The sequence below is a fragment of the Homo sapiens genome, chromosome 4, assembly GCF_000001405.40.
Source record: "Homo sapiens chromosome 4, GRCh38.p14 Primary Assembly".
Lineage (NCBI taxonomy): Eukaryota > Metazoa > Chordata > Mammalia > Primates > Hominidae > Homo > Homo sapiens.
This window is the reverse complement of record NC_000004.12, coordinates 92,169,948-92,196,018: the sequence shown is the minus strand read 5'-3', so window position 1 is coordinate 92,196,018 and position 26,071 is coordinate 92,169,948. Positions and strand designations below refer to the sequence as shown.

Below are 26,071 nucleotides of genomic sequence, written 5' to 3'. Positions count from 1 at the left end.
GACATTTAGGGAAACAGAAAATTTAGAAGCATAGGGAGAAAAAGAATTACTCACTGTATATTTATTTCTTCTCTTCATTTCTATGCATGTGTTTACATAATAGGAATCACATTACATAAATTGTTTTGTTACTTAACTTTAAAAATGTAGTTAATTAATTAGTTTATTTAGACTATTTTCTAGAGCAGTTTTAGATACATAGCAAAATTTTGCAGAAGGTACAAAGATATCCCAAATACCTCCTCAGATATATACTCCCCTATTATCAACATTCTCCACCAGAGTGGTACATTTTTTTTAAATAATTGATGAATATACATTGACACATCCTCATCACTCAGAGTCCATAGATTACATTAGGGTTCATTCTTGATGTTGTACACTCTGTGGGCTTGGACATAGATAATAATATGTACATTCCATTATAGCAAGATACAGAGTAGTTTCACTGGTCTAAAAGTTACTTTTTTTTCATTTAACATTGTAACAGTAAAATTTCTGATGCTATCACACATTATTTGCAAGTAAATCTAATTGCTGCATTATATTACAATGTCATATGCATATGTGTATATATACATATTATATATGTGTATATTATATTCAAATATTCATATGTGAATATATGAATATTTAGGTGTTTTCAAGCTTTTTCTTATTGTAAACAATCCCTCGATGACCCTGTATATTTTTCCCTGTATCTGGGTTCATTTTCTACTTGTAGGTCAATTTCCCAGATATTTAACTTTGAGATGGATGGATTTCTTCAAGGAAGGTGGCAGGGAAGAGCGCTGAATTGGGTAGAGGGAGAATTTGGGCTTTGATGCATGATCAAAGTGATCTCAGAGAACTTCATGTGAAACTGTAAGCTGAAATACTCCTTCAGACTTATCCTGAGTTGAGGTAGAAGGGCTAAATCTTTTTACCAATGCATTTACTAGTTACCGGTTGTGAGGTGGTTAAGGGAAGGGAGCAAGACTTCAGGTAAGAAGGATTTACACAGCATAGCTGTTCCCAAAGAGGGTTTTCTGCTGCCGACATTCCCAAGAAAAAGTGGAGGAATAAGTTCTTTCCTGATGGTCTGGCACACCACAGCATCTAACATAAAGGCTGTCACAATTTTCAAGCCTCTTTATATATTCTAGCAAATATCTCTCCAAAACTGTTGTATAATTGCAATTAGTGCTGACGTATTAACAGCTAAAAGTTGCTTTAAAACAGTTCACATAATAAATTCTTTTTCTATTTAGTTTGTTCATGAAATACCTCACTACATAAACTTTAAAAAATATTATCTGGTCTTACTTGTATATTTAATTTTACTTAGATTTTATGAAATGTTTAAATATGTTTTCTTATCTCAAAATTAGAAAAATATTCTATTATATTTGGCTTCATAATTTATAGTTTATTTCCATATATAATCTTGCAGAAATTTATTTTTGTATTTAACATTATATAGGAAATAAACTTTTTCTGTTTCCAAACACGTAGTCATTTCATGAATAATCAAATCTTTCCTCATTGATTTGAAGTGCCACCTTTATTACATAGTAAATTATCATATACACATATTCTCCATGCTTTCCATTGATCTATTTGACTATTCCTTCATCAGCCCCACACTTTCCATTAATAAAGATTTATGATGAAAACCTCTCTCCATACTTCTTTTTTTCTCATTATTTCCTTAGCTATTTCATACATTTAATCTCCAAGATGAAATTTAGAATCAGTATGTCAAGTTATAAAACAACCACAACCACAAAAAAGCAAACAAATCAAAAAGAGATTTAGGATGGATTTTTATTGAATTTATGTATTAATTTTGAAAGAATTGGCATCTTTACAGTACTCTTTTCCTCCAAGCATGTGAATCTATTTCATTTACTGACATCTTTTATGTTGTCACAGTATTTTTTTCAGGTGATTTGGTATTCGGTTCAAGCATAGATAAGAAATAGAATGGAATATCTGTATAAATCGATTCTAGGAAGAGTTTGGGTCAGGATGACCTAGAATGTTGGCAGTCTGTTTCTGTCTAAATTTCCAAACTATAAAATCTGTACATTTGAATGTTTGTATAAACTTCAAGCATCCCACAGTACAATCTTTTTTAAGTTCCTTTTTGTCTACGTTTTATATAATATTTTTGTGTGCAGCAGTATTTTAGCATCTTCTCTCAAAGGAAGGGCATTCAATAACTTTAAAAAAAAAAAACAGACCAACATAATAGTTGATCTGAGACCAAGATTTGTTTTCTGTGACAATGTTCTCAGATTTTTCTTTTTCATAAAAGTAATTTTTTAACTTTTACCTATAAAGTATATTGCCTTTCATTTTTATAGAAGTCATTCCAAATGCAAAGGTTAATAATTTCTCATTATTTCTTTGTAATAATTTATAGTGTGATTCTTATATCAAATTATTTAATATACGTTATGATTATACAATCAACATATTTTTGTGAACAATTTGGAAAATATAAATAACCCTTCCCCAATTATATTTTGCAATTAATAGCAAACCTAAGAAACCACTGTCTACAGATTTAAGTATTTCTCTATTATTTTAATATAAAAATAACAAAGCAGGTATTTTAAAACTTTTATAAGATACTTTCCCAAATACTCATAATACAAAAAGATTATACTGAAGTATTTAATATCATGGAATAATGTTTGAAGTATATATTTCTTTATATATACATTATATAATAATATATAATAATTCCAAAATGTTAAACATACTTCAGCATAATCTTTTTAAGTGATACATAATATCCTACTATATAACATTAGAATATATTGAACTAATCCATTACATGTGGCTTACTAGGTTATTTTCAATCTTGGTTCTCAGAAAAAGTGCTGAATCTAAGCAAATGCTTACTTCCTTAGTATCAGTACCTAATACTGAAATTACCAATAGAGAATATAGTTTTTTTTTTGTGATTTGAATGTATATTGCCAAACTGTGCTCTGATAATTTGGTATCGGTTCACATTTGCATACATACGTTTGAACTCCATGTGCCAGACCAATTTTTAGTCATGAGAATGCAGCAGTGAATTAAACAAACAAACACCTAAGACTTCATGGAGCTTACATTATAGAAAGAAAGCAAAAATCATCAAGATAAATAGATTTATTTATACATACACTTTATATCATCATTATGAACTGAAGTGTATACTGAATTCATATGTCAAAGCCCAAACTTCCAATATTATTATATTTTAAGAAAGAACTTTGAAGAGATAATCAAAGTTTAAGGAGGTCATAAGGATCAGATCCCACTCCTTTAGGACTTACAGCCTTATAAGAAGGGAAGAGGGAAAGCTCTTTCTCACTTTCTACAGGCATCAACCAAGAAATGGCCATGTGAGCATACAGCAAAAAAGGGACTATCTGTAAGCCAGGAAGAAACCTACACCAGAACCGAACCACACATCCATGCTGGAACCCTGATGGCAGACTTCCCGCAACCGTGAGAATATAAGTTTTTGTAGTTAATAGTCATAGAAATAATAAATCAATAGAAAGAGCAATACCTCTTAGATAGATAGACACCTAGATGCATAGATACATAGATGAAAGAAAGAAATTTTAATAAACTCACCCCAGTTTTTCTGCTGAGAATGTACTGGAGAACTGCAAGGGTATAATAGGGATACCACTTAAGAGACTATTGCAGTACTTTAGACACATGGTAGTGGTTTGGACCAGATTATTGATAGCATGAGTAGCAATAACTAGTCAAATTTTGAATATATTTCTAAAATAGATGTAATAAGATTTTATTTTTGATTGGATATGGTGGCAGATAGTGAAATATAAATAACACCAAGGTTCTGGCCTGAGAAAGTTGTCAAGGGTGCTGAAGTTTTACAGAGTGTAGAGAGAGTCTCACTGACAAGATGTCAATAAATATATTAAGATAATAAGGAAGCCAGTATGCAGATATTTGGATAAGAGCATTTCTAGGCAGAAGGAACAGAAGTGTAAAGGTCCTAAGGTTAATATATTTGTTATGTAATCAAGAGACAACAAAAAAGGCACTGCTACTATAGTACACCAAGTAAGTGGAAGAATAGTTGCTGATGAGGTTGAAGAGATATTTTTGGAGCAAGACGATACAAAACGTAGTAAAGACGGGCTTTAATCTAATTCTATGCAAAATAGTCAAAAGTCTCCAATAGAACCTTTCTTTATTTCTTTTTTTTCTTTCTTTCTTTCTTTCTTTCTTTCTTTCTTTCTTTTCTTTCCTTTTTCTTTCTTTTTTCATCTATGTATCCATGTATCTATGTATCTATGTAACTATCTATCTATCTATCTATCTATCTATCTATCTAAAGAGGAGACTTATTAAGAGAATTAGCTTTCATGATTATGAAGGCAGAGAAGTCCCATAATATGCTGTCTGTAAGCTGATAAAGTAAGAAAGTTGGTAGTATAATTCAGTTAAAGTCCAAAGGCCTATGTAACAGCAAACAGGGGAGCTGGTGTGACTCCCAGTCTGAGGTTGAAGAGAGGTAGAGGTGGGGGATGCTGATGTAAGTCCTGAGTCTCGAGGCCCAAGGGCAAGAGAAGATGGATTTCATAGCTCAAAAAATGAGAGAGAGTTCACCCTTTCTTAGTTTTTTTGTTCCATTCAGGCCCTCAACAGAGTGGATTTTGCCCACATACATTGGTTAGGATCTATCTTTCTTGCTCAGTCTACTGATTCAAATGCTAATCTCTTCTAGAAACTCCATCACAGAAATATCCAGAAATAATGTTTTGCTAGCTATCTAGGAATCCCTTAATCTAGCCAAGTTGATAAATACAATTATGACATGATATGACATACATTTTAATAAGCTCACCCAGTTTTTCTGCTGAGAATGTACTGGAGAACTACAAGGGTATAATAGGGATACTATTTAGGAGACTATTGCAGTACTTTAGACACATGGTAGTGGTTTGGACCAGATTATTGATAGCATGAGTAGCAATGACTAGTCAAATTTTGAATATATTTCTAAAATAGATGTAATAAGATTTTATTTTTGATTGGATATGGTGGCAGATAGTGAAATATAAATAACACCAAGGTTTTGGCCTGATAAAGTGCAAGAATAGAATTATTAACTCATGTAGGGAATTACGGAAAACTACAGAGAACATTTTGGAGGAGAAGTAAAAAGCAGGTTTTTGGATGTGTTAAATTTGAGATGCTTATTAGATGTTTCAGTAGAAATGTCAGTTGGCAGTTGGATATGTGAGTCTGGGAATTAGGGAGAGGAAGAAGGTAGAGATCTTCAGGATACAAATCTGAAGCTATGAGATTGGGGATCACATATGGTGAGAGTGAAGATAAAAATATTCCAGTGATTAGCTCCAGTGTACACCAATATTTCAGGGTTGGGAGTTGAGAAAGAAGAAGCAAAAAGACTAAGAAAAAAAGGCCAGGATTATCATAGGAGAGATACTAGTGAATGAAATGTCTTGGAAGCAAGTGAAAAAGGGTTCCAAATAGGAATGATCAAGTTCAGCTGATAGATTAAATTAAATGACCACCACATTTATTAATAATTGGAGACTATCATTGGTGACCTTGACATGGGCAGTTTCAGTGAATCAGACAGGGCAAATTCTAAATGAGGTAGATTCTAGAGAAAATGAGAGAATGTATGTATAGACAATACTTTCAGAAGTATTGCAGTAAAGGCTGCAAGATAAATGGAGGCAGTATCTAGAGAGAGAAATAGAAAAGAGATGTTTGAAGTTTCTTAAATTTGTGTATTACTTATTATTTGAGATGAGAAAATAATAAGGTTATTATTAATTATTAACCACATAAATAAGGTTAAATATTCCATTTAAATGATTCAATTGAGACGGAAAATTGATGAAGCAGAAAAAAAGAAAACTGTTGAAGTACTGTAGTTAAGTACTTGAGAAGGGATGGAGGAACTGGCGATCAGGCAGGAGCAGACACAATCCATCCATTGAAACAAGAGAGCAATGAAGAGAATATGGATGCTAATTAAATTAGGAGTGTAAGCAAGCTTTCTTGGTTCATCTTGTCAACATTAAAAATTAACATTATTTAAAAATGAATACAAATCTCAATTCAATTAGCTGGAGATAGGTATTGTAGATATAAGGTCAATGGACTTGAAATCTGCCTCCAAATTTTGGCCAAGTAAATGTATAAGTAATCAGAAATTAGATGGTGCTATAGTTTGGATGTTTGTCCTACCAAACCTCATGTTGAAGTTTGAGCCCTAATGTTGAAGGTATGTCCTAATGCAAGGTGTTTGGGTCATAGGGACATATCCCTCATGAATGTCTTCGTGCCATCCTCTTGGTAATGAGCAAGTTCTTGCTCAATTAGTTCTTGTTATCCTTCTGTAGTGAGTGAGTTCTTGCTCTGTTAGTTCTCCTGAAAGCTGGTTGTTAAAAAGATCCTGGCACCTCCCTCCTCTACCTCTTGTTCCTCTCTCACCATGTGATACCTGCATATGCTGGCTTCCCTTTGACTTCTGCCACCATGAGTGGAAGGAGCTGAGGCCCTCACCAGTGCCCAGCTGGAAGAACTTTCCAGCTGGAAGAACAATAAGCCAAATGAAGCTTTTTTTCTTTTTTCATACATCAGCCAGTCTCATGTATTACTTTATAGAAACACAAACAAAGACAGATGGCTTGCATTAAAAAGTGGAAGAATGAAGCAAATTCACATGGAGGAATAACAAATATTTTTAAAAAGTAGAGTACACAACTCCTCTAATAGATGACTTTGACATGACATTCTCAGTTCTACACTTCACATTTAGCAATTAAGTTCCATAAAAGTCCCAAGTATCCATCTAAATATGAGCAAATTTGCCTTAAATTCTATTCCATGATATCATATGTTTCATAATTAACTCATGTAGGGAGAGTGTGTGTGTGTCCACACACACTATCTAAAGGCCACACTCTCTCTAAAGGCCAAATGTTGTTTGGCCTTTAAATTTTGTTATGGGTATTTCTGCTTCTATGACTGAATATATCAGACTAACCATCCTACTAACAGGAGCTGTAAAAATAAGACTAAAAAAATGTTTTAAAAACCTGTTTGCAAGCCGGGCATGGTGGCTCATGCCTGTAATCCCAGCACTTTGGGAGGCCAAGGCAGGCAGATCACCTGAGGTCATGAGTTCAAGACCAGCCTGACCAACATGGAGAAACTCTATCTCTACTAAAAATACAAAATTAGCCGGGTGTGGCGGCAGGCGCCTGTAATCCCAGCTTCTCAGGAGGCTGAGGCAGGAGAATCCCTTGAACCCGGGAGGTGGAGGTTGCAGTGAGCCGAGATCATGCTGTGCCACTGCATTCCTGCCTGGGCGACAGAGCCAGAGACTCCACCAAAAAAAAATTATATATTTTTTATATTATATTTTTGTTTATTTATATATTATATATTTATATAATTTTATATAAATTATGTAGAATTTATATTATACGTATATATAATATACATACATATTTATATATTATATAACTATATAATATATAAATATACATATATATATACATATATATATATTATATATTATAAAGCAATCAAGGCAGCCAGGTCTTGATGGGCACAGTTTCTGCAGAGAAGAAACACATTGAGGTGAGATTACATTTCTTCTGGGTGCATTTGCTCATTCACTACACTGGACATAAACGTCAAACAGAAAACAACATTCTAGAGCCTGTGGCAGTCTCTGTGGGCTTTGTAGACAAAAATTGGAGCTCAAGGCTGCCAAAGCAACCATGATTTGAGGAGTCAAAATCTTGGAGGAAAGAAAAATACTGTATAGAGAAGTGAGCCTGATAGTCTTCCTGCAATTTCCTTTTGAGGCATTTACTGATTCTTGAACTGCATATGCCCAGGGCAAGTTATTGTGAATATAAGCAAAACACAGTTAATTAGAGGATAAAATGTTAAGTAAAGAGAGCAAAAGACTCATTTGGCTGGAAAGACAAAAACTGGAACTCAGGGATTACCAAATAGTAGAGGCACTTGTAAACACCCCAAACTTTCAGTTTGAGATTCAATTTTGGTTTTGCCCTGAAGATAAGAGAAATTAGAATAATGCCAGACCCCACACAACAAGAAGTTGAGCTAGAACTTATTCATGATGATCTTTTCATAGTCTATGCATTTTCCAAAAGTAAACTTATGAAAAACTGATGCCAAAGAAAAATTATAAAATCAACTATAGATAAACGACTCATTACCTTCAAGGAATAATAATAAAGGTAATGGCCAACTTTTCATCATAAGCCAGGGAAGCCAGAGAGCACAATGACAGACACCCTTACAGTGCTGAAATAACTGGCAAACTATAATTCTATATTCACTTAAAATATATTTCAGGCTGGTCATGGTGGCTCACGCCTGTAATTCCAGCACTTTGGGAGGCTGAGGTGGGCAGATCACCTGAGGTCAGGAGTTCCAGTCCAGCCTGGCCAACATGGTGAAACACCATCCTTACTAAAAATACAAAAATTAGTTAGACACAGTGGAGCGCGCCTGTAGTCTCAGCTACTCGGGGGGCTGAGGCTGGAGAATCGCTGGAACCTAGAAGGCAGAGTTGTAGTGAACCAAGATCGCACCACTGCACTCCAGCCGTGGTGACAAAAATTAGGTGAAATACATTTTCAGGAATAAAAAAGAAGGATTTTGTTATTAATGACATGCCACCAGAAGAGATATTAAATAATTTTTCAGGAAAGAAGATGATTTTGGATTGTTGTGGATTATAAAAGTGGCCATTTTTTTTACCCCCCCTCCACCTAGCTCCTTGTTGTCCCTGATCCTCCCATCAGGATTTGGAGTCTATGAAACCATCAATTGAACCCGTTTCCTAGGTTGTTATTGATTGCATTGTGCACCCCCAAAATTCATACGTTGAAGTTCTAACCACCAAGTACTTCAGAATGTGACTTTATTTGGAGATAGAGTTTTATATATGTATCAAGTTAAAGGGAGGTCATTAGGTCCTAATCCAATATGACTGTTGTTCTTATAAAAAGGGGAAATTTGGGCACAGATAGAAATGTATAGTGGGAAGACTATGTGATGAGACATTCTGGAAAGATGGTCATGTACAATCGATGGAGAGGGACCTGAAACCTTCTTCTTTCACAGCCCTCAGAAAAAATCCACCCTACTGACAACTTGATTTTGGACATCTAGTATGTAGAACATTGAGAAAATGTATTTCTGTTGTTTAAGCCACTCAGACTGTGGTACTTTGTTATACCAAATCTAGCAAACTAATACACAGGCATACTGCTTTAGACAATGGAAATTGGCAAACAGGACATAACCAGAAGCTTGAAAAGAGATTACGCCTTTTGGAAATTATGGAAAAGCTTATGGGAACTGCTTTCTTATCATTCTTTAGAACTCTGAAACCACTATGTGAAAAATAGTGGGCTAACATAGTGGAAGATGAAATACTCCTAAAGTCTTACAGCTGTGTCTTCCCAACTCAGACACATCCTAGACCAATGGCTTGTCAACTATCTCATACATGTGGCGGGCCATTCTAGATCATGCTGCAATCAGTTGGACTGCCAACTGACCACAAAAGCATGACAGAACCTAGCTATCAGTTGAGCCAGGTCACAACCAAGCTGATACATGGAAACTTGAGACTAATAAAATGTGGAATTGTCGGTTTCATATCAAAAGCTAAATAATCAAAGACAGAAGTAAGAAAATTCAGGAAAGGATGGAGAGTCCTGGAAAAGATAAATCTATGAGTAAATACAAATTATTTTTCACTGCATAAAATAAAACTAATAATATTTTGTGGTGTTGAAAATGTATCTCAATTAGAGTGAGATGAAAACTAGTGTAAAAGTGACAGTGTAAATAAAAGCAAGTGTTATAAGTTACTTGCCTTTATGAATTCCATATTTGTTTGTGTATTTAGGAAGGTTTTTCTCACAATGACACAAATATTTGTTTTTATGGCTTGGTTATTTATCTATAATATTATGGAGAAATAGCTATAATGTCTTCACGTTAATTTCCTCTACACACATCCATACACACACAATATTTTCTTCTAATACATCCATTTTATAAATTTTTAAATTTAAAAACTCAATAATTTTTAAAATTATCTACATGTGGTTGGAAAGTGTTAAAGGGTGAAAGTCTAAGTTATTTTTTCCCCAAATAACTAACCAATTGCTCTAATATCTTTTAAAACAAGCTTATCTAACCACAGCCTGTAGGCTGCATGTGGCCCAGGACAGTTTTGAATGCGGCCCAACACAAATTCATAAACTTTCTTAAAACATTACGAGATTTTTGTGTGATTTTTTTTTTAGCTCATCAGCTACTATTAGTGTATTTTATGTGTGGCCCAAGACAATTCTTCTTCTTCCAGTGTGGCCCAGGGAAGCCAAAAGATTGGACACACCTGGTAAATATACTTTTTTGTTAATTAATTTAAGATGCACCCTTTTCATATATTAAATTTTATATGTAGGGATGATGTCACTTAAAAATATTCCTTATCTTTTATTTCCTATAGTGTTATTAGTTCCCATTAGAAATACTGCACAATTTCCATTGAATTTTCCAATAAACTCTTTCTTACTGATAACATTTAAGTACAGACCCTAACATTTCCCATTCTTTATTTTATAACTGGTCTTTCTGTTAGCATAATGCTAAAACAAAACATTCTTCCCCCTTTTTATGTCAAATAAAATCAGCTTAAAATCTTAAATTGTTATAGATCATTAATTAGGCCCAACCTTCAAAACCCCTGAAGGACCTGCATGAATTTTTCTTAGCTTACCTGTTGGAGACAACTCTTTATGAATGTTGGGTTTCCATATGTTTTCTGAGCAGAAGCATTGACAGCTTTCGTTCCAGACTATCTTTTCAAAGATATTTGTATAGCAAACAGCCTTGAAACATAATAAAGATTGTATTTCCATTTGGAGGAGAGGCAGGTTTGTCTGTTGTTGAGAATAGTAAGGACAATGTCTCTCTCTCGGGCAAAGTTGAGGTTTCTCAGATTCAGGGTTCGTTGACTGTATAACACAAATTCCCTGCATTGGGCCATTCTAATTATGTTAGTGGTGCTTGGAGATAAACAGAGCAATCCAAAGTAAGTACAAAGCTTAAACTGCTTGCTATGTCATGAGAGTAAGAAGTTCCTTTGTTTCTGACCCAAGCCTCGTATCTTTTGCCAGCATCCATGACTAAACAAGTTAGCTTGCACATAGGATATAATCCAAGGTTATTCTCAGCCAAACATAGATTCTCACTGTAGTGCTTCAGCCAAGCTAATTTCTATAGGCTACTCCACCCAAGTCATACAGCTTTTATCTGTTAAAAAAAAAAATAGCTGTGGATTTGGTTTCATAGTTTACTATTGAATTTCTGCAATAGTATTTTTAAAATCATCAGGTTCTATGGTTATATGATACTGCAATCATTGTTTTAAATTAACAGTCACCAATAGGCTCATATTACCTTCTTTATGTGCCTAAGACTACTCTGATATTTTTATCCAGGATAACCGAAGCATGCAGCGGGTGGTTTATTAAAACAACATTTTAAAGATAAATCTGGGTTTCTGTAGCCTGAGATCTTTATAATCGTTGTTTACTTACAGTATTTTTTATTTTATAATTTTAGGCTTTTTTAAATTTTTAACTTTTGTGGTACATAGTAAGTGCATATATATTTATGGGGTACATGGGACATTTGAATACAGACGTGCAATGCGTAATAACCACATCATGGAGAATGGGGCATCCATCCCCTCAAACATTTATCCTTTGTGTTACAAACAATCCTATCATACCCTTTTAGTTATTTTAAAATGTACAATTAAGTTATTATTGACTGTAGTAACTCTGTTTTGCTATCAAAAAGTAGGTCTCGGACAGAAGCAATGGGCGGAGACTCAAGATGGCGGCTACGGTGCTGGCGGCTACGCGGTCGCTGAGGGGCTCAGGTTCTCGGGGCCGCTAGCGGCTGAGGTTTGGACCTCCTGCGTACAGACAGTTTAGTAGTGGTGGCACCTATCCCAACATCCCCCTCTCTTCTGCCTTACCTGGAGTACCCAAGCATGTTTTTGCTACAGTTGATGGACAGGAAAAGTTTGAATCCAAAGTTTCAAACCACATTGGATAACGGGTTTCGCGTGGCCTCTCAAAATAAGTTTGGACAGTTTTGTATAGTAGGAATTCTTATTAATTCAGGATCAAGATATGAAGCAACATACCTTAGTGGAATTGCTCACTTTTTGGAAAAATTGGCATTTTCTTCTAATGCTCGATTTAACAGCAAAGATGAAATACTGCTTACGTTGGAAAAGCATGGAGGTATTTGTGACTGCCAGACATCAAGTGACACCACCACGTATGCTGTGTCTGCTGATAGTAAAGGCTTGGACACGGTGTTCGGCTTACTGGCTGATGCGGTTCTGCAGCCCCAGCTAACAGATGAAGAAGTCGAGATGATGCAGATGGCGGTCCAGTTTGAGCTGGAGGACCCGAACATGCAGCCTGACCCAGAGCCACTCCTCACCGAGATGATTCATGAAGCGGCTTACAGGCTCTACCTCAACGTGCTCAACAGGCACCACAGTTGGCCTCCACCGTTTCTGTCCCACAGAAAACATAGCAAAGATCAATCGGGAAGTGCTGCATTCCTACCTGCGGAATTACTACACCCCCGACCGCGTGGTACTGGCTGGCGTGAGTGTGGAGGACCAGCACCTGGTGGAATGTGCCCGGAAGTACCTCCTGGGGGTCCAGGCGGCTTGAGGGAGCGCGGAGGCTGTGGATGTTGACAGTGGCCCAGTACACTGGGGGGATTGCCAAGCTAGAAAGAGACGTCAGCCTGGGCCCGACCCCCATCCCCGATGGGGGATCAGACTGGAGAGCTGCTCCTTCCTGGAGGAGGACTTCATCCCCTTCGCTTTGTTGAACATGATGATGGGCGGAGGCGGCTCCTTCTCGGCTGGCAGGCCCAGCAAGGGCATATTCTCCAGGCTCTACCTCGATGTGCTCAGCAGGCACCACTGGATATATAACGCGACCTCCTACTACCTCAGCTACGAGGACACTGGCCTCCTGTGCATCCTTGCCAGCGCCGACCCGAGGCAGGTTCCAGAAATGGTAGAAATCACCACAAAGGAGTTTATTTTAATGGGCGGAACCGTGGACGCGGTGGAGCTGGAACGAGCCAAGACGCAGCTGACGTCCATGCTCATGATGAACCTGGAGTCCAGGCCTGTGATCTTCGAGGATGTGGGGAGGCAGGTGCTGGCCACTCGCTCCAGAAAGCTGCCGCAGGAGCTGTGCACGTTCATCCGCAACGAGAAGCCGGAAGACGTGAAGAGAGTTGCTTCTAAGATACTCCAGGGGAAGCCGGTAGTGGCCGCCCTGGGCAAATCGACCGACCTGCCCGCTTACAAGCACATCCAGACCGCCCTGTGGAGCAAGGACGGGCGCCTGCTCAGGACTTACCGGATCTTCCGGTAGAGCCGCTCCCTGGCCTGATGGACCCAGGAGCTGCAGCTGGAGCCTGTTCCCGTGCGTGTTAGTTTGGACACGAATTTAGTCTAAAACGCTGTCTGGTTGTATAAACAGTGCAAACAATGTCGCCAGAGCACCCACGCAGTTTGCATTCCTTCAGAACCTGAATGTGCCAATCAGTGGAGTAAATACTGACCCTGACCACGGCAAGCCAGGAAGCAGGTGAAGTGCGGAGCGCTGGAGGGCAGCGTGCCATGAGGAGGCTGGGTCAGCGCTCCCCCTCCTCAGGGGCTCTCTAGGCACATGGTGTCCCGCAGGTTCCTTGAGAGGAGCAAGCCCTGAGCCGGGAAGCAGCAGAGGCCAAACTATCAGAGCCTCCCCAGAGGCCACCAACTTCCTGTGTCAGGTACCAGGACTCACCTCTGACAAACGGGAGAAGGCAAGGGCCTGGTCTACTCCGAGGAGCGCGGTCCACGCGTGTGCACGCCCGCTTCCCTGGTAGTAAAGAGCTGGCATCTTTCTAAAAAAAAAAGGTATTATTCAATGTTTCTATTATTTTTGCACCCATTAACTGTCTGCACCTCCTTTGCCCCAGCCCTGCAACTACCCTTCCCAGCCTTTGGTAACCATCATTCTACGCTCTATGTCCAGGAATTCAAATGTTCTGATTGTCAGGTACCAGGAATAATTGAGAACACACAGTGTTTGCCTTTCTGTGCCTGGCTTATTTCACTTAGCATAATGATCTCTAGTTCCAACCATGTTGTTGCAAATGACAGAATCTCATTCTGTTTTTATGGCTAAATAGTACTATGTTGTGTATATGTACCATATTTTCTTTATCCATTCATCTGTTGAGGGACCCTTAGGTTGCTTCCAAATCTTGTCTATTAACAGTGCTCCAACAAACATGAGTGTATGGATATCTCTTAAATATAATGATTTTGCTGGCTCATACGCTATCTCTATGGTTGTTTTTTTTGAGAAACCTCCAAACTGTGCTTCATACTGGTTGTACTAATTTACAATCCCACTAACAGTGTACAAGGGTTTTTTCTCCACATCCTTGCTAGCAATTGTTATTGCCTGTATTTTAGATAAAAGTCATTTTAGCTGGGGTGAGATGATATCTCATTGTAGTTTTGACTTGCATTTCTCTGATGATCAATGATGTTGAGCACCTTTTCATATGCCTGTTTGCCTGTATGTCCTCTTTAGAGAAATTTATATTTAAAATTGTGCCTTTTTTTTTTTTTTTTTTTGAGACAGAGTCTCGCCTTGCCACCCAGGCTGGAGTGCAATGGTGCGATCTCGGCTCACTGCAACCTCTGCCTCCCCAATTCAAGCAATTCTCCTGCCTCAGCCTCCCAAGTAGCTGGGATTACAGGTGCGTGCCACCATACCTGGCTTATTTTTGTATTTTTAGCACAAATGAGGTTTCACCATGTTGGCCAGGCTGGTCTCGAACTCCTGACCTCGTGATCCACCCGCCTCAGCCTCCCAAAGTGCTGGGATTACAGGTGTGAGCCACCGTGCCTGGCAAGTTTTCCCATTTTTAATTAGATTATTAGATTTTTTTTTCCTATACAGTTGTCTGAACTCCATATATATCCTGGATATTAATCCTTTGTCAGAGGAATAGTATGCAAATATTTTTTTCCCATTCTGTGTTGTTGTATCTTCACTTTGTGATCATATCCTTTGTTGTGCAGAAGCTTTTTAACTTGATGTAATCCCATTTGTCCATTTTGTTTTGGTTGCCTATGCTTGTGGGGTATTGCTCAAGGAAGTTTTGCCCCAACCAATGTCCTAGAGATTTTCTCTAATATTTTCTTGTAGTAGTTTCATAGCTTGAGGTCCTAGATTTAAGTCTTTAATCCATTTTGATTTGATTTTTATATATAGAGAGAGTTAGGGGTCTAGATTTATTCTTCAGCATATGGATATCCAGTTTTCCTAGCACCATTTATTGAAGAGACTGTCTTCTCCACAGTATATGTTCTTGGCACCTTTGTCAAAAATGATTTCACTGTAGGTGTGTTTATTTGTTTCTGTGTTCTCTATTCTGTTCCATTAGTTAATGTGTCTGTTTTTATGCCAGTACCATACTGTTTTTGTTACAATAGTTCTGTTTAATAATTTAAAGTCAGGTATTGTGATTTCTCCAGTTTTGTTCCTTTTGCTTAGCATGACTTTGGCTGTTCTGGGTTTTTGTAGTTGCATGTAAGTTTAAGGACTGTTTCTTTGTATTTCTGTGAAGAATGTCATTGGTATATTAATAGGGATTGCTTTGAATCTGTAGACTGCTATGGGTAGTATGGACATTTTAACAATATTGGTTTTTCCAATCTATCAATATGAAATATCTTTCCATTTTTTTGTGTGTCCTCTTCAATTTATTTCATCAGTATTTTATAGTTTTCACTGTAGAGCTCTTTCTCTTTTTTGGCTAAGTGAATTCCTAGGTATTTAATTTTATGTGTGGCTATTCTAAATAGGATTGCCCTTTAAATGTCTTTTTCATATTGTTTACTATGGGCATATAGAATTGCTACTGACTTTTGTATGTTGATTTTGTATCCTGCAACTTTACTGAATTTGTTTATCAGCTCTAACAGTTTTTTTGTGGAGTCTTTGGGCTTTTCTAAATATAAGATTATATCAGCTGCAAACAAGGATAATTTGACTTCTTCCATTCCAGTTTGATTGCCCTTTATTTCCTTCTCTGATCTGAATGCTGTGACTCCCAGTATTGTGTTGAATAGCAGCAGTGAAAGTGGGCATCCTTGTCCTGTTCCAGATCTTAGAGGAAAGAATTTGAGTTTTTCTCTATTCAGTATGATGCTAGTTGTGGGTCTGTCACATATGGCTTTTATTATCTTGAGTTGTGTTTCTTCTATACCCAGTTTTTTGAATGTCTTTCTTATCATGAAGGGACATTAAATTTTATCGAATGCTTTTTCAGCAGCAATTGAAATGATCATATGATTTTTGTCCTTCATTCTGTTGATATGATGTATCACATTCATTGATTTGCATATGTTGAATCATCCTTGTATCCCAGGGATAAATCTCCCAGGGTCATGGTGAATGATCTTTCTAATGTATTGTTGAATTCGGTTTGCTAGTATTTTGTTGACGATTTTTGCAACAATATTCATCATAGATATGGCCCGTAGTTTTCTTTTTAAATGTGTTTTTGGTTTTGGTATTAGATACTGGCTTCATAAAATGAGTTTAGAAGTATGTCCTCCTCTATTTTTCAGAAGAGTTTGAGTAGATTGGTATTAGTTCTTCCTTAAATGTTTGATAGAATTCAACACTGAAGTCATCAGGTCCTGGGCTTGTCTTTACTGGAAGACTTTTTTTTATTATGACTTCAAGCACATTACATGTTATTGGTCTGTCCAGGTTTTGGATTTCTTCTTGTTCAGTCTTGGTATGTTGTATGTATGTAGGAACTTGTGAATTTTCTAGATTTTCTGCTTTTGGTTTTTATTGTCTTTTCTGTTATTCTTTACCCTGATGTTACCACATATATTTAACAGGAGAATTCCTTAAGATTCTCAAAGGCACAGCCTGCATTATCCCCAAGTGTTTTAAAATATTGGCTACTTAGGGACTATATTCACCATGCCGAGTTGGGATTATACTTTAGCATTGACAATATGGGTGTTTTTCCTATGCTCTCAGCAAACGTCATCTGTGAAAATATAATAGTTTAGTAGCTATGATATATACCCTGAATATGATATCTAATAAAAACTTTTCATATGCACACTATTATTTATTGCAAGTATAAGTTTTTGTATTTTTTAAAGTAAGGAAATATTCAGGATAACAATGTGATTTAACCAAGAGTATTTTGTTATTAAGTGATATATCTTTGAACACAGGATGCCAAACTCCAAATCTCAGAATTAAATGCAATCTTGATTTATATTAATTGTTTTTTAGTAGACATAACACTAATGCATATGAATACAAAAATGCATAAAATTAAGCCTTTTGTCTTAAGGGGATATTTGAGAGACAGTGTGTATCCCTAATCTGTATTTATCCACTATGTCAATGCCACATTTTCCTTCACAGAACCTCACTGGGTAACCTTTTTATTAGAAAGAACCATCTTCATTGCATGAGCTATGAGTTACCAGTTACCAATCTTAGCTCTGGTTCTAGGAGTCTTACCAACAAAATGTGTGGTCTTGAGCAAGGTCATACAATTTATATGAGTCTCACTTTCTTTCTTTGTGAAAAATATGCATGACTACTAGAATAGTAGATAATTCCTGAATAGGCTGAGATTGTTCCTGCCTCAGATCTTTGGCTTTAGCCTTTCTGTTTAGTTGGAATTTCATCCACAAGTTTTTCATTCTAGGTTTATTTTCCCTGTTTATTACCAGAATTTGCATCGTATGTGTTTTACATGTCTAATTTCCTTTTGTGTTTCTTAGAATATAAACAGCATGATGGCTAGAAGTCTGTTTAACTTTAATGTTTTATGTGTCATGCCTAGAGCACTGCTTAACACATAGTAAGCAGTCAATATAAATTTTCTTGAATGAATGAATACATAAATATTTGTAAAAACTAAATGAAGTAATATATAGATGAATGAAAATGAAACACTTTTATGGCATTCTATTATTATAACCCTTTCACCTCATAAATATTTATTCAATGTATGTTCATTGCTAGGATTTCAATGTGCCTATTGTGGTCTTTAATTAAATGAATCAGGAAGCTAGACCAATAAATTATGCCAAATAAAACTAGTTAATAATGCAAAATTTTGTGCTCAGTTTCTCCAGGAAAAAGATTCTGATACATCTTTCAATAGTAGTAATAATGGAGATGGAAGAATGAGAGGCTGGGAGAGAGGTAGAGATGATTTTGTTTTCTACAGAAAATGTAATGAAAGATGATGGGATTAAATGGTTAAGACTCAGGAATAAAAATGAAAATTATTTCCCCATTTCTGACTAAGCATGCGCTATTGGCAAGCTGCAGAATTTACACTAATGTGCCCCAGTGAGGCCAGGGAACAAAGACCATGGCTGAAAACCTGGCAGAGTTAGAGTCTGATGTTGGTTCTATATAACTGCACATGGCTGAGGCTTTGGCAGCTCAAGAGAGGAAGGTGTCTGTATCGTCAGCCCCATGAATAACATGGATAAACATATATTTTATACAATAAAAGTTTTTATTCCCATGTATAATATCTAGATATAGTTTTTAAAATTATTGCTATCTATTAAAATATTTTGGTAACTTTTTGTTTTCTTTTTTTGGACTTTTGCTAATGTGGATTTCAGTAATGTCTCAGTAAGCAGTAGTAGGTACAAAAGCTATTCCATTCTTTCTCTGGAACTAGGCAAACATCAGCAGTTCAGGTAATCAGTAGCTCTTCCTTGATTATCACCATTATGAGCTAGGCTTTGATTTAATAGTCTTTAAATTTGTTGAGGAGCATGGACACTATTAAGAATTGTTTAAACAATAGCTACTAATTTCAGCCCAGGGAAATGCACACACACACACACACACACACACACACACATAATTTTTGGCATATAATTTCAGGAGAGCTAGAGATCTCTTAACACTGATCCATGAACCTAAGAAATTTTATATCCTTTTAAGTAGACGGTAAGCTCAAAGCTCTAAAATACAAACTATGCTTTCTATTTATTGTGAAATGTCTCTCTAAACTTTTTTTGTGATATTTACTGAATTAGAACATTATAACTTTTTTACTGAAAATGTTCACCTGCTTTTAATTCAACTTATAATAATTAGATCTACTTAGTGTGTGGGAATTAAAGTTACTTAACATGGACAATTGTAGCAAGTACACACAAAGAGTACACAGAGTTGGGTTTGAATCCTAACTTTGTCAACTAATAAGGACTGTTTTGCTTGTCATTTACAGAAAATCTAACCCAAATTGGCTTAAGCAAAAATATAAAAAATAAAATGACAGGGATCTTTATTAGTGGTCAAACTTTAGACACATCAACCTAGGAAATCAAGTGCTATATTTAAATACTGTTTCTCTCCTTATGATAACTTACTTTTCATCCATTGGGTGCAATTCTCTGGCAAGCTACATTAGATAAGAGCTAACAGGTCCCAGTTAATTTTCAAGTTCACTAGAGTTAGAAAGAACATATTTTTTGATATATCAAATTAAAGATGAATTCTTTTGTCTTAGGTCATGGCCCTATTTCTGAACCAATTACTTTGGCCAGGGTTTGAAATTGGCCAAACCCAATTCATATATATACCTCCAAAACCATCAGGGATAGGTGTCAGGTCTCCCTGAAGTTCACTGAGATCCTCTGAATTCTCTGAATTGAAGCCAGCATGCCATGGTCACTAGAAGAAAACTAGTTAATAGTTACTAAAAAAATAGAAGGAAAAGATGCAAGACTGGCAAAAAACAACATATGTTTGCACATACAGCCCAATTGCTATCTGTGTACCCTTGAACAAGTTACTTAACACTGTGGCTGTCAGTTTCTCTAATTATAGCAGGAGTAATAATATCTATCTTCCAGGGTTTTCATGACCATTAAATGAGATAGGCAATCTATATAACTTTGGCATAATTACATGTATAATAAGTTCTCAACAAATAATACTGTTTTCTTTTCATCTATACCTCCTCTGACTCCTTGCTCTCTTAACCAATATCAAATGCACAGTATAGTTATATTTTATCCAAAACATAAGGATCTTTTAAAATTTGGATAAATCTGTTAGAATTTCTCCTTTTTAGACTTCTCTTCTCCATACTCCTTCATAACATCTGCAGTCTAGAGCAAGTAGGACTGATACAGACAGGAGACAGCCAAGGGTCCATGGCAAAACCCTGCCTTCTAGCCTAAAACAGCATGAAGGCTGAAAAATCAAACTGCTGCTCCTGGATGAAGCCCACCCTTTCCCCTTTCCCGACTGATTCTCTCTGACTAATGCCCACCTGCACCCTGGGAGAATAGGGTGGAGCCTCAGGCAGTTCATGCCATTTGCAGCCAGGAGGAGCCTGGCCTCTTCAGTTCCTGTGTGGTGACCTGGGATTCAATCTGTGAGATGGAGGGCCTGTTAGCAGGACTCCATCTCACTTTGCTGAGTTTTTTTTTTCCTTTTTTCTTTTCACTCAATAAATTTTGTTCCCCACCCTTCTATGTGTCCATGAACCTAGTCTTTTTTGGTCATGTGACAAGAACCCAGTTTTAGCTGAACTAAGGAGAAAGTTCTGCAACAAGATCAAGTACAAATGCTGACCTCAAAGATTTCATACTTAAAGCAGTCTGAATATAGAGTGTAGTGGTAGTAATTGTGAAAAAGCACATTAGCACCACCCGTATAATTTGAACAATTATAATACCAACATTTTCCAAATAAGTGATTCCTTATTTTAATATAATATTATTTGTATTCATCTTAGGTCAATTCAAGGTAGTTTATATTGTACTTAGCATAAAATGTTCACTAAGAAATAGCCTAAATTAAATCAGTAATTCTTCCTGTGCCACTGCTATTAGGTTCAATTACTTGAGAACAGAGAATTAATATTAGGACTAATAATAGTTTCTTATATATCATTATATCTTAATGAGTTTGAAGTATTATCTAACATTGGAAGAGAGAGTTATGCCATGAAACTAGTACACATTAATTTAAGAACTACATTGTAATCACACCCCAAATCAAATAGTCCAGACTCCTTGACAAGGGCGTAATTCAAATGTGAAGCCCCATGGCATCAAGAGGCACTGCAATGAACCTTAAAAGTTTTCACAGATTCATTAATTTGTTAACATAAGTATGTGGAAGTTAATTTGAACTTTCAAACAGATTTTATTGAAGCATTCTCTATGTCACATGAGGCTTATTATTAAGAGAAATATAATAAACATACAAACCACAAAACAATAAAGATTTCAAAAATATTACCTTTACTTGCTTCCTACACTGAAGCTGACTTACTTTAAATTATATAAAATTGTATATTAAGAATTTTGGCAAACTATTCACTCGTAAAATGCATTTAATTTTCTGCGCATTTTGAATACACACTTTAGCAACTTGTTTCTTCATATTATGTCTATATTTCAGGAGAGCAATTTAGTACATGGTAAGAAACACAGTTTTTAAGTGAAGTGAAATCTCATGTGTTAAAATACTACAAAACTTTAAAACCCTGATTTTTAAAGTGTTGAGATACTTAAGTCTTTGAATAAAGATATATCTTTATCCTAAATCAAATACTTTTTGCCATATATGTCCTCACTTAATCCATGGGAGAATGAGCTATTACTTTAGCTTTAAAAAATGTTTTCAATCTCAGATACTTAGAATAGCAAGATGAGTAGTGGTTCCACTGGTCTTAATTCAAAGTACTAAAGATGGGAATAGAATTTGAGTTGGAAGTAGAGCTCCCTAGAATTTCCATTAAAATACCATTAATTGTTCTAAAAAATTATTCTATGATTGCCAACTGCCTCTCCCATCTCTTATTTTTCCATGAATTTATATTTTAGGGAATTTGTACCAGCTTATTTGGTATATTTCTTTTCACTTTTTAGGTTTTATTTTTAAGTTATCCATTCTACCATATTCCTTTGCTTTTATCTTCCAAGACTTCTACTGATTTAAAAAATTATTATGGAAGTTATATTTTAAATTTGTAAAATCTGAATAGTCAATTCAATCTTGTAGAATAGCAAATCCGGTGTATTCATAGTGTTAGAGATTAAAACCTAGTATAAAGATACAGTAATGAATATAGTGTATGTACCAACATAGAAAAGGCCAATAAAACATAACTGAGAGTCAAAAAAAGACCCTCATACATATCTGTCTCTTGACTTATGACAAAGGTAACACTAAAGTGTGATGGAAGAATAACAGTTTTGCCGATAATTATTGCTGAAAATATTAGCTATTTATGTGAAAAAAAAATCTTGACCTACTTAATACCACATGCAAAAACAGTTACAGAAATATTGCAAATCAAAATGTAACAAGTAAACTATAATGTTTAATGACAGAGCAGGAGCACCGTCATCTTGGACAAACACTGCCACTTTGAGTTCCAGCTCCCTTTCTAGCTTCATGCGTTTCAAGGAAATCACTTCTCTTCTAACTACAACCAGACAGAAAGAGCAGACAGTAAAACACAGATAAGACAGCTTGGGCACAGAGAAAAGTAGGGGGAAAGTCTCTTGGGTTACTGCCAAATTTCACCCTCATACAGTGAGCCCCAGTAAAACAGTGGGCCTTAATAAGAACATTCCTTTCCCTTGAGGTGCAGTAAGGTAGGGAAGCTAAAAGCAAACTCCGGGGGATATGCCTGCAGCTGCAGAGAGATGTATGGGAACAAACACACAACTCTCCCTCTCAGATAAACACAACAAACAGACACAAAAGCAGTCCAATCCTCTAATAAACTCTCGTACCCTAAATCCTTAAAAACTCGTAGTCTGTAAAAAAGTGTGGCTCTAATCTAACTTGGCCAGCAACCCCTCTCAGATTCGTTTAAAATAAACCTGTCCCTGTTAACTGTAAAGCCAATCTTCGTGTTTCTCTCCTCTTTCTTTAATTCTTACAGTTTTTATTAGAAAACCAAGAAAAATATCTTAATGGCATTAGATTACATAATGATTTCTTTACAAGCACACAAAAAAATACAAATAGGAGATGAGATTTATCAACATTAAACACCAAGTGCTTCTGTTCCTCCAAAAACATTATTGAAAGAATAGAAATTCAAGCCACACATTGGGAGAAGATATTTACAATACTTCTATCTGACAAAGAACTCACATCCTGTATACTTACTGATAAGACTCCTATGAATTACTAAAAAAAGAGAAAACTCCAAAGAAATGTGGCAAAAATCTTGACTAGATACATTACAATATACAGCATTTAAATGTCCAATAAACATATCGACTAATGCTAAATTTAGTTAATCACTAAGAAGGTGCAAATTTAAATCCCAGTATAATACTACTGTACACCCATTCATATTGCAAAAATGAAAAAGACTGACACCAAGTGTTGACAAGGGTGTGGAGCAACTAATGGTGGGAGTATAAATGATTAGAATCATTTTGGAAAATAATTTGGCAGTATCTGCTAATCTTTAGCATCTGCATACTGTTTGAAGCAGCACATCTCCTCCCAGGTGTAAATGTAACAGAAATGTGGACCCATGTACACTGAAAGACAAGTTCAATGATGTTTATAATAACACTATTCATAATAGTCCCAAACTGGAAACAATGCAGACATAAGTGGCATTAATAAATACACCTATTACTGAGAGTGAAAGTGAGCAAAATTATCACTGAGCAACATAGCAGGGTATAATCACAAAAACAAAGTGTTGAGCAAAAGAAGCCAATCACAAAAGAGTTCCTACTGTATAAATACATGTAACTTTTTTTTTTAATAAGCAAAACTAACCAATATAGTAATTTTATTTGCTGACAAGAGGGAAAGAGGCTGGAAATGATGATGACAAAAGCATCTGTGGTGTTGATATTATACTGTGTTTTGATCTTTATCTCATTACAAGGATATATTCACTTTGTTAAAATCATAGAGCTGTATGACTTGATTTAAGCCCATTTTGTATGTATATTTCATGAAAATATTGCATACTTTCAATGTCTTTTTAAATGTTTTTTTTTATTTCTCATATTAATTTGTTTTTTTATAGATATACATTTTTCTTGATCTTTTCAAAGTGAAATTTTAAGATATTTAAATTATCAGATCATCTTAGGATTTTCTTTTTTTCTTGGTTTTTAAAATTTGTTTATCGTTATAATTCCTTTTTTCAGAAGATATATCAGATATGTATTGATTCTTTGTTTCTATTTCTACCTAAAATGAATCATTGAGAAGAACAGTAATTCACTCAATGCAAGGCAAAGCTTACTTACCTGCAACATTGGTCTAGGGCAACTGAGCAGCTAACAAGCCATTATGCTGCTGTTTCTTTAAAGAACACAATTAAGAAAGCTTCACTTACATGAGTTGCTCTGTTTCTCCTAAAATAGTATATTGAATTTATGTTGAAAATAACTAATTTTGTTTTTGTGTTCGTCCAACATTAATGCTTGGAGACTGTTTTCTGCTACAGTTGATATTGAATGTTGGTTGCATGTCTGGATATACAGCATGTAGACAAGGGATTCTTAAATACTGTTGCAATTGAATCCCTAATTTTTAGTCCTACATCTTATGCTTGCATCCCCTCCTGTCCTGCATCCTTGAACTTGTCTAGAATTCTTCCAAGGAGAGGAATTCCCTCTTTGGTTAAAACCTTTCTGCACGCATTCTCATTTGTGAAAATTTAATTTCCTTCTTTAGTCACTTCCATTTATATTCACCTTCCAGAAAATATTTGAAATATTTCATTTTATGATTATCTGTTTCCCATGATCTTCATTGTCATGGGTTTATACCTTTAAAAACCTTTCATTATCATCTTATTAGTATCTTTGCATAAAGTAGATCAATGTATAGACTTAATTTGTAACCTTGAATCACAAGGCATATAGATACGTATTTAAACATAAGAGAGTTTATGTTTGTGTGGGTGTTACAGCTGAAAGAGCACTGTAGTTAGAGTCAAAAGATATATAAATCTGAATTTAAGTTTCTTTACAGCCATATACCAAATGGTTGACCTTGAACAAGTACATAATAACTCTGAGTTAAATTAATATAAAATATAAGGACCTAAGGCATATTAATCTAACACATGAAACTCAGCAGTTAAACTTTGAAATGTTATATAATTGAGAATGATTTATTATATGTCCTTACTGAAAACAATGAGTTTCATCATCATTATATAGAAAGCAGTATACACTATAATTTTTTAACAATCTTATTTAACATTCAATGCAGTAGTAATTGATGACTCATGCAGATTTTACTCTTGCTAATACTAATTATAATGATGAAGCCATCCTATGTATACTGTATTTCCTAAGGCAATTAAGAAAATATAATAAATTATAGCCTCCCTATTTTTATTCAGCCTGTTCTGTTATCTTTATATATTGCGTAGCTCTTAAGATTAAAATGGACGTGGTTTTTTTTAACTCAATAGATTATGAGAACCAGAAATATGTACATATATATGAATAATGTAATGAATGTGTACTATGTTAACAAGGCTAAAGTGAAACTATGTTCCCTAGAAGTCTGTTCCCTATGTGATTCCAGGTTAGGATTTTCCACAGGAGAATTCTCTGCAATATTTGGAAGGCAGAAGTGAAGCAGCAGCCACCCGTAGGCTTAGTTAGTTAAAGTTGGATAAAGTGCTGCTGCAATTCATGCACGTTGTCTCTGGTCTGCTGGGTCACTTTGTTGGTGTGGGCCAACAGCTGTGCCTGAAGCTTGTGTATGTAGTATATACAAATTTTCCTCCTTCATTTTCTCTAATTCCTGTGCCTCATACCTGTGTGGTTTCATGGGAAAGTTGCTAACGTTTTCCTCAT

At 35.7% G+C, this 26,071-nt stretch overlaps 1 pseudogene, besides 1 other annotated feature; it reads left to right on the top strand.

Moving 5' to 3' along the window:
- Positions 11,460-12,659: an enhancer, noted in NCBI's record as "MED14-independent group 3 enhancer chr4:93104511-93105710 (GRCh37/hg19 assembly coordinates)". NCBI's record gives its function as "activates an origin of replication core promoter dependent on BRD2, BRD4, P300/CBP and CDK7 cofactors, and independent of MED14, by STARR-seq in HCT116 cells {active_cell/tissue: HCT116}" and the evidence as "EXISTENCE:reporter gene assay evidence [ECO:0000049][PMID:35650434]".
- On the top strand, positions 11,957-14,063 carry PMPCAP1 (PMPCA pseudogene 1; annotated as a pseudogene).